We start from the raw sequence: 10,089 nt of genomic DNA, 5'->3' as shown, positions 1-10,089 counted from the left end.
TGTGTAATAAACATTAAATAGAAAATGTCAGCAACATGTTTCGTGTGTTTGATTTTCGCACATTAATAATGTAGAGTGGATTGTGTTCCAATTTTCCATCTATGTATCCATGGTAAAAGGAATAAAATAGCATTTTCACATCTTTCAGCTGATCTTCTTCCTTTTCCCTTCCCCAGTCTCTTAGGAATATTTCTGAAACCTACAGCCCTGCTTATAATTGAGCCTGTGCATGGGAGAGTCGTAAGCTCCATGCCCTGCCCCCCAGCTCGCACCAGGGCTGACTTCAGTCAGAGAAGCCCTGGGTCTGGAGGCATTTAGTGCCTCTGGAAGATTCTAAACATCTTTGGACACTTAGGGGAGAGGGAATTTACACACACACACAGTGTCCCACCAGGCCGACCTGGACTTTGTGTACAACTCCTAGGAATTTTTGGTGGGGAAGGGCTGTACTGGTTCGGGAAGGTTCTGAGCCAAACTTGGCCACAGGCAGTGCACAGCCTCCACAGCTGCAGACCACAGTTCAGTCTACTAGACAGTGTTAGAGGAGCCATTTCAGGGTGGGACTGATCAGATCTTAGGAGGTTCTGGCACTTGGGGGAGGGGAGCGGAGGACAGGATTATCATTCCATTGTTACCTAATACTGCTGTGTCTCTTAGTTGAGAAAGGCATGTACGGCTTGTATGTATTTCTGGACGCAGATGAAAAGAGAATGTTGACAGTATTGGGTATGGGTACTGCCATTTCATGCATAGGGCTGAAGGAGGTCCGATAATGACTTGTACAAGTGCCACTTGTATGTGGGGCGCTCCCACAACGCCTATGTTCAGTGTATTTTGAGGTTGTGCAATACAGCAAAGCTGTTGGAAAGGTGGTGTGAACTGCAGGGTGTGAAGTGCTGTTCCCTCTCCTTCAGACCCTCTCGCACATTCCCCCCCCCACCACCAGGCACACACATGAAACTACAGGAGACACATAATCCTCCCCTCCCCCAACATTGCAGACAGCTTTCTCTGAAAACTGATACCCTGAGGCCCTTTTTCCCTTACCAGCCACAATTAGGAGCAGCAAGACAGAAAATGCGGACTGGATTATGGCACAGAGACAGTGCTGTGTGATTTCTCTTTCTGGAAGAGGCCACTGTCCACGCTCCAGGCCTTATATTTCATCTGACTTTGCCACTACTGGCAGCAGCTTTAGGCTCCAGCGAGTCCAGGCCAAATCCAGTTCTTTCTGCGAAGTCCATGCTGGATTTTCTCTTTCACCCTAGTGAAGTCTCTGCCGAGGCTGTTGTTCTCAATCCAGCTCAGAAACTGGCTCAAACCGCCCTGAACTGGATTTGGTGGCTGTTGAGACACAGTTTCTGCCTCTTTGTTAGGGCGGATCCGGCCTCATTCGCGCTTCAGTTTCCCTCCCTCCTGTTTTCCCAGAGTCATCTACAGCCATTCCCCTCCCCCGGCCTCTCCAGTTTGGCATTTTTTTTTTACCCTTCCCTGGGCCAAGACCCCATAAAGCAGATTAAATTCTTTAATAAAAAAGTGGATTTAGATTGTAAACCTTCTGCTTTTATTACATTAAGTTCTGCTTTCCTCAAAGTTGTTATCTAACCAGTTGACATGGTGCCCTTAAAATCTTGGCTCGCATCCTAACCTAGAAATAACTTTAATTTTCACTCTGGATGGGAATAACTTTAAATTTCCCATCAAAGACTGAAGGGCTTTGGTGCAGTACATTGTTCATTTCCGTTTTGTAACCATATTTAAATTAAAACAATTTATTCATTTCTTTGCTGATAAATGACATAGTATGTGTAGAATTTTTAAAACAGTCACCTATACTGGCTTGTCTATTGCAACTGTGCAATTCCTAGAGGAAGAACTAAAGAACTGGGATGTTTTTGGTTTTCGAACCTGTAATTGTAACCCTGAATCCGATTCTATGAATTGTACAGTGACGAAGGCTGTTGGGGGAACACGTGGGGACCATTCCTGACAGAATACCGGTGGACACAAAACTGGGAATGTGACGAAATAAGGAGGATAGGACACGCCTGGGTTTTTGCAAGTTCCCTTTATAGAAAATTTAAACATTTCTTATGTTTTGGAACTAGATAGAGGTGACGGTTCCATAACACTGTGAATGAGGTAGATGCCACTTAATTGCACACTTTAGAAGGGCTAGTTTTATGTTATGTGGATTTTGCTTCAATAAAAAAGGGGCTTTGTTTTAAGAATTTCTCATTTTCTTTTTGTGTTTTTTGAAAATTCAGAGAAGAGACAGATAATAACCCTAATCTGGGTGTGGCTTCGTTGCGTGCTTCACGACTCTCTGGTCTCCCTCTGCTGGCCAAACTGCGCAACATGTCACCATGTCCCAAGGCCTCTTGAGAATGTCTCAATTTTATGTCGAAGCACAAATGCAAGGCTACGTTACTAAGAATCACTCTCCAAACCTGGTTTCATGTGCATTTTACGTGTGCAATATACTGAAAGAAGAATCAGATGTTTTGTTTCTATGATGTTACATAGGATTAATTATATATTAACGATTTAAAATTTGCCCCTAAGTCTCAAAACAGAGACAAAACCGTTGTCATTTCCCCTGGGCTTAAAACCAGAGTGAAATTGCTCATTTAAGTGTTTAGTTTCAGTAGAGCATAAAGCCCTGGAAAAAAAACAATTACAACAGTAGATATGGAAAAGCTATTTTTGTACACAGGAGGGGAGGGGTTGGCTTTGTCTAGTGAGTCAGTACGCTCAGAAGGATGTGGGTGCCGGTTTGGGCTAAGATAATCTTCAAAATGTATGTTAAAAGGACGTGAATTCATCAGTTGAATTTGTTTTTGTGAGATTTAAGAGTCATCAGTTATTGTGGGAAGGCACACAGTATATGCTACACGGGATTTTCCAAAATGTTCAGTATCAAAGGGGATTCAAGAAGGGTAGAGGTCAAGCCATCCAAACTGGCCCTCTGATTCTTAGAGATGCTTTTATTTTAGGATCTTTGCATTTTTCACTCCACCTTGAAATCTCCACCCTCCCCCCCCACCCCTTATTCCTCTCTCCTTTCACTGTCCTCTGAGTTCCTCCTACCCTCTGGTCAAGCTTTGCCTTCCTCAGAGGCCTTCCTGAATGCTTGGTCCAAAGTAAATTCCTTATACCTTCTTATCATCTTACATGGCAACCTCTTTTTTTCTGTTGTAGCACCACTGTAACTTACAATTATATATATTTGTTTTCTTGTACATTGGCTCTCCCCCTTCACCCGCAACTAGCTTTCTAAGTACCCTTGGGCCGTGTCTGTCTGATCAAAACTGTATAACAAGCATAGGACCTGGCAAAATGTTAGCAAGGAGCAAATATTTGTTGAACAGATTAATTAAATTCAAATATTATTTCTCTGGTCCCAGTCCACTACTTTCTGGCTTCTTCTTTTATACCAGTTAGTTCTTTTACGATTCAGTCTGTTTTCTTACTCTTGTGAACTTTCAGGAACAACTGATTTATTTCAGGGTTCCTCTTTACATAATGAGAGCTACTGAGTAGAATAGAATCTTCACAGCTTCTGGGGGGTACCAGAAAGATGCCCAGAAAGGGGGTACCATGGCCATTACTGGCACCTCAGACAAGGGCAGGCTTCAAACAGGGAGGCCTGTGGCAACCCCTCCCCTATGTCTGAAGCTGAGGGGATGGGGGAGCTAAGAACAAAGGAAAGAAGAGAAAAGTGTCCAGGGAACAGGTGGGGACCATGGTCTTCTTGCCCCATCTTCCTCAGGGGTTGGGGGGTACAGAGTTGGTGGTGGCCCATCCTGCTAGGTCCCACTGCCCCTCAGAAGAGGCCCCAGTCCTTCAGGTTGTTCTTGATGATGACGTCGGTGATGGCATCAAACACGAACTACGTTCTTGGTATCGGTGGCGCATGTGAAGTGTGTGTAGATCTCCTTGGTGTCTTTGTGCTTATTCAGGTCCTCAGACTTACTCTGGTTGTAGCTGGCTGCCTCATCATACTTGTTGGACCCTGTGTACTCAGGGAAGCAGATGGTCAGGGGCTGTGTGTGATCTTCTCCTCCAACAGCTCCTTCTTGTTGAGGAAGTAGATGATGGACGTGTTTGTGAACCACTTGTTGCAGATGCTGTCAAACAGCTTTTATCCCCTAAGAAAAGACACACTAGTCTTATAATTCTTACCGTCTGTGTTTTCTCATCTGTAGTACTTGATTTTACTCTGAGATGGAATTCAACTTGGGTTTTGGTTTCTGAGTCTGGAGTCATGCACATGGTTTTCCCCCTTCCATCTTTATCAAAACTGTCCCTATCACCAGAGGGAAAGGATTTACCAATTCCTCCTTTAAAAGAGTATCCTGGCGGCCAGGCCTGGTGGATCATGCCTGTAATTCCAGCACTTTGGGAGGCCGAGGTGGGTGGATCACCCGAAGGTCAGGAGTTCGAGACCAGCCTGGCCAACATGGAGAAACCCTCATCTCTACTAAAAATACAAAAATTAGCCAGGGGTGGTGACGGGCGCCTGTAATCTCAGCTACTCGGGAGGCTGAGACAGGAGAATTGCTTGAACCCGGGAGGTAGAGGTTGCAGTGAGCTGAGATCATGCCATTGCACTCCAGCCTGGGCAACAAGATTGAAACTTCGTGTCACACACACACACACACACACACACACAACGGGCATGGTGGCTCACGCCTGTAATCCCAGCACTTTGAGAGGCCAAGGTGGGCCGATCATGAGGTCAGGAGATTGAGACCATCCTGGCTAACACAGTGAAACCTCACCTCTACTAAAAATACAAAAACTTAGCTGGGTGTGGTGGCATGCACCTGTAGTCCCAGCTACTAGGAGGCTGACGCAGGAGAATTGCTTGAACCCAAGAGGTGGAGGTTGCGGTGAGCCGAGATCGCGCCACTGCACTCCACACTCCAGCCTGGGTGACAGAGCGAGACTCTGTCCCAAAAAAAAAAAAAAAAAAAAAATGGATCCTAGCTGGGCGAGGTGGCTCACGCCTGTAATCCCAGCACTTTGGGAGGCTGAGGTGGGTGGATCGCTTGAGGTCAGGAGTTTGAGACCAGCCTGGCCAACATGGCAAAACCCCGTCTCTACTAAAAATATAAAAATTAGCTGGGCATGGTGGTGGGTGCCTGTAATCTGAGCTACTAGGGAGGGGATACAGGAGAATCGCTTGAACCCGGCAGGCAGAGGTTGCACTAAGCTGGGATCGTGCCACTGCAGTCCAGCCTGGGTGACAGAGCAAGACTCAGTCTCAAAAAAAAAAAAAAAGATTCTACTCCTGGCCAGGGACTCATCCAAGCAGAAGTCTAATGCCACAGAATTTCAAGTAGGCAATTTGCATCTCTGAAAACCTTCAGATGAGAGAGAGAGAGAGGGGCCACCAATTCACTGGATTTCAGCCCAACACAAGAGTAATGTCTTTGGGGCTTTTTTTTTTTTTGAGACAGGGTCTCACTCTGTCACTGATGCTAGCTAGAGTGCAGTGGCCTGATCCTGGCTCCCTGCAGCCTTGACTTCTGGGCTCAAGTGATCCTCTCACCTCAGCCTCCAGAGTAGCTGGGACTATAGGCATGCACCATCACACTTGGTTATTTTTTTCTATTTTTCTTTTTTTTTTTGAGACAGAGTCTCACTTTGTTGCCCAGGCTGGAGTGCAGTGGTGCAATCTCTGGTCACTGTAACCTCCACCTCCCTGGTTCAAGCGATTCTCCTGCCTCAGACTCCCTAGTAGCTGGGATTACAGGTGCCTACCACCAAGCCTGGCTAATTTTTGTATGTTTAGTAGAGATGGGCTTTCGCCATGTTGACCAGGCTGGTCTTGAACTCCTGACCTCAAATGATCCACCCGCCTGGGCCTCCCAAAGTGCTGGGATTACAGGCATGAGCCACCATGCCTGGCCTATTTATTTTTTTATTTTTTCACAGAGACAGGGTCTCTCTGTGTTGCTCTGGCTGCCCTCAAACTCCTGGCTTCAAGTGACTCCTACCTCTGCCTCCCAGTGAGGTGGGATCACAGGCATGAGCCACTGTGCCCTGCCTGGAGCATTTCTTCACCTAAGCAAATTAGCTGTTCTAAAAGCTGTGCTAGGTGTTGGAGGACATTTGAAGCACAGCTTTATTGTGTATTTATTGCAAGGTTTTGATTGACTCGTTGTGAAACTGGTAGGATTTCCCTAACTGACTACAAAATTCTGTGACTTTCACTTCTTTTTTTTTTTTTTTTTTTTTTTGGGATGGAGTTTCGCTCCTGTTGCCCAGGCTGGAGTGCAATGGCACGATCTCAGCTCACCACAACCTCCGCCTCTGGCGTTCAAGAGATTCTCCTGCCTCAGCCTCCCGAGTAGCTGGGATTACAGGCATGCGTCACCACACCCGGCTAATTTGTGTTTTTAGTAGAGACAGTTTCTCCATGTTGGCCAGGCTAGTCTCGAACTCCTAACCTCAGGTGATCTGCCCACCTCAGCCTCCCAAAGTGCTGGGATTACAGGCGTGAGCCACCACGCCCGGCTGACTTTCACTTCTTTTAACTGGTTCAGGGTAATCAATAGTTGAGAGACCGAATATTGAGGTCAGAAAAACTCAAAGCTCTGAAGCCGTGGTTTCCTCATCTATTTTGTTTTTTCATCTATAAAAATATCTCTATAAAGTTGTAATAATCATTATAAGAGCAATTACATAGCAATACTTTGTGCCAGTTTACTGTTATGATATATATGTATATATAGTATGTATAAACCACATTGTATATATAAACTGTTTTCCTCATAGCCACCCTTTGGAGAAGGTACAATTGTTCCCATTTTATTTTTATTTTTTATAGTTAGGATCTCTGTCTGTTGCTCAGGCTGGAGTATAGTGGTGCAGTCATAGCTCACTGTGGCCTTGAACTCCTGGGCTCAAGTGATCTTCCTGCCTCAGCCTCCAGAGTAGCTCAGACTGCAGGCTTGTACCACTGCTTCTGGCTAATTTTTAGATTTTTAGTAGAGAGGAAGTCTTGCTATGTTGCCTAGGCTGGTTTTGAACTCCTGGACTCAAGTGATCCTCTCGCCTCAGCCTCCCAAAGTGCTGGGATTACAGGCGTGAGCCCCTGTGCCTGGCCCATTGTTCCCATTTTCTGCTGGGGACAAGGAAACACAGAGAAGTTAGGTAACTTGCCCAAGGTCACACAGCTAGTAGAAGGCAGAACACAAACACAAACCCAGGATGCTTGAGTCTCTACTTTAAAAATCCTAGTGCTAATTACCTGGCACAAGATAAGTGTTGTTAAATCTTAGTTTCTTTTTATATCCTCCCTTGAACTTTCACGAAAAATGGTTATTCCTTCTTCAAAGTATCTTAATACAAAATTAACCCCCTGCCTTTTCAGATGAGGAAACGGAACTCCAGAAAGCTTGAACCATGTGTTTTGTGTGGCCAGATAGGACTAGATCCTAGCTCTCCTGCCTAATCTGGGAAGGAATAATGGTTCTCCATATTATTGTGTTCCATCTACTTCCTTCCTTAAGTATGGTTTTGTTCTTGTTATTTTTGTACCATTTTTGAAAAGAAAGGAAAATAATTTCCTTCCTGAATCTCACTCTTATCTCCAAATTGTTTTCTGCAATTAAATAACACTCGCCGTGCTGACAGAGGCATAACTAAATGGAATGTGCTGCTTTTCTACCAGAGTGCACAAAGGGAGTGAGCAAGAGTCTATCACTGCCAAAGTGAGGAGAGGAAGACTAGTTGGCATTCATTTTCTTTCTCTCTTTTCCATCTTCATCCCTTCCCTCCTTGTTTCTGCCTCCAGCTCTCTTTTCCCTTACCTGGATTAGGAGTATGGGACTATTGCTGGTGTCACCCTAATAAAAATTCAAAGATAGGTTAATAAGAGATAGTGCCCAGAGATGGGTAGTAAGCTAGGGTGTCAGTAGCTGCTGCCTGGTCTCTTTTTTTTGAGACAGGGCCTCACTCTGTCACTCAGGCTGGATGGTAGTGGCGCTATTAAGGCTCACTGCAGCCTCAACCTCCTGGGCTCAAGCAATTCTTCTACCTCAGCCTCCCTAGTAGCCGGGACTACAGGCACATTGCCATCATGCCCAGATAATTTTTGATTTTCAGTAGAGATGGGGGGTCTCACTATGTTGCCCAGGCTGATCTAAAACTCTTGGGCTCAAGTGATCCTCCCGCCTCAGCCTCCCAAAGTGTTGAGATTACAGGTGTGAGCCACCATGCCCAGCTTTGCTGCCTAGTCTTTTCTTGTCTCTGAATGAAAACAGAGAAAGCCCCGAATTCCTGTCTTTATTGTGTCATCATCTCAATACATGCCTTTGCATAATTTAGTTAACCTGTACTAGCCATCCATGATTTTCTCAACTTTGTATGAAATACTATCTTTCCTATTATCTGCTCTCAAAGAATTTTGGCTTGGCCATGAAATAGTACAGTGACAATGACAATGTTCAAGAGATCATGGTGTTTTGTTTTATTTTGTTTGGCTTAAATAAAAATTCTCAGAAGTATCACATATATGTCTATAGTTGCAAAAGTGCAACATAGCTTTATAGTCTTTGAATAGCACTATTCTAAAAGGCCTTATGATTTTGGAACCTATAGCTAAATAATATATTTGATCATCCTGAAACATCTATTGCACAAAAATGAAAGGAAAACAGGATTACCACAGTAAAAAAATACCGTTTTCAAAACAGAAGAAACAATGCTTGCTTCAACAGCACATATACTAAAATTGGAATTACACAGAGATGATTAGCATTGTCCCTCTGCGGGGATTACGTGCACGTCATTTGTGAAGCATTCCATATTAAAAAAAAGAAAGGTTTGAGGTGGTCATTAGAATAGAGTTCCTCTCTTTTTTTTTCTTTAGCAGAAACCTTTTGGGAAGGTTTGGGGGCTTTGGGTATTGATTGGCTTAGATGCTGAGTAATCATAGGTCTTTGTTTGCTAGGCTCAGGTTTTTTTTTTTTTTTTGACAGAGTTTCGCTCTTGCTGCCCAGGCTGGAATACAATGGCGTGATCTTGGCTCACTGCAACCTCTGCCTCCCGGGTTCAAGCGATTTTCCTGCCTCAGCCTCCCGAGTAGCTAGGATTACAGGCATGCACTACCATGGCTGGCTAATTTTGTATTTTTAGTAGAGACAGGGTTTCTCCATGTTGGTCAGCCTGGTCTCGAACTCCCAACCTCAGGTGATCCGCCCACCTCGGCCTCCCAAAGTGCTGGGATCACAGGTGTGGGCCACTGCGCCTGGCCAGGCTTAGGGTTTCTAAAGCAATATAACTTACATATAATGTTAGTACTTTTTTGTTTTCTATTCACATTCCCCAAGGTTATAACCAAAACCAGAATTCTTTTTATCTTGTTTCTTAGAACAAACCAGTGCTTGGGCCGTCCACTACTTTGTAGCTTGTTGACCTCTATCATGGCCGTATCCGAGGTGGAGAGGCAGAGTGAGACAGTCCCTTCTTTTCTGGCTACATTCTTTTGACTGGCTCTTTGTAATGAGAACAATTGTCCCCTTTGTCATCCAGGGCATGAATAACAGGAAGTAACTGGGAGTGATCTGTGGATATCAGTATCCTGGCCTCCTTAGCGTTCACTTTATTTTTGGGTATAGAATTTTGACATTCTAATCCTGGAAAGCCAGAACTGATTATTGGCCATCCTGGATTATTAACCTAGGCAAAACTGTGTTTTTCATATTTTCTATTTCTAGACCAGCTAGGTTCAAACAAAGTTTGACTCTTTCTTGCTGGACTTTACCAAAAAGCAAACATTTCAACATAGTGAATATTCTATCAAGTCTCCAAACATCCAGCCTTGTTATTGTTTAATACATGAAGAGTCCTAATATAAAATAGGCAGCAATCTAACCAGGCGTTTTTTACCCAAAACCAGTAATTGATAATCATTCCTAACTGGGGAGTGGGGAAATTCTCACTACTTTATACCTCACCTCAATTAGCCAATTCCACGTTTTAGGGACTGTTATTATTTATTTATTTATTTATTTGAGACGGGAGTCTCGCTCTGTCGCCCAGGCTGGAGTGCAGTGGCGTGATCTCAGCTCACTG

The 10,089-nt window shown here is 44.4% G+C and overlaps 2 pseudogenes, besides 2 other annotated features; one reads left to right on the top strand and one right to left on the bottom strand.

Moving 5' to 3' along the window:
- Positions 659 to 1,588: a transcriptional cis regulatory region, noted in NCBI's record as "candidate enhancer chr12.662 targeted for multiplex CRISPR interference". NCBI's record gives its function as "positively regulates ATF7IP gene expression with high confidence in K562 cells {active_cell/tissue: K562}" and the evidence as "EXISTENCE:mutant phenotype evidence [ECO:0000015][PMID:30612741]".
- On the bottom strand, positions 3,572 to 4,144 carry GNAI2P1 (G protein subunit alpha i2 pseudogene 1; annotated as a pseudogene).
- On the top strand, positions 8,717 to 8,826 carry RNU6-491P (RNA, U6 small nuclear 491, pseudogene; annotated as a pseudogene).
- Positions 9,150 to 9,664: an enhancer, noted in NCBI's record as "NANOG-H3K27ac-H3K4me1 hESC enhancer chr12:14402328-14402842 (GRCh37/hg19 assembly coordinates)". NCBI's record gives its function as "activates a minimal SCP1, AML or CMV promoter by ChIP-STARR-seq in primed H9 embryonic stem cells {active_cell/tissue: H9 hESC(primed)}" and the evidence as "EXISTENCE:reporter gene assay evidence [ECO:0000049][PMID:30033119]".

Source organism: Homo sapiens, chromosome 12, assembly GCF_000001405.40.
Source record: "Homo sapiens chromosome 12, GRCh38.p14 Primary Assembly".
NCBI classification, from domain to species: Eukaryota; Metazoa; Chordata; class Mammalia; order Primates; family Hominidae; genus Homo; species Homo sapiens.
Note: the sequence above shows the minus strand (reverse complement) of the source record. Positions and strands in the feature narration are given on the sequence as shown.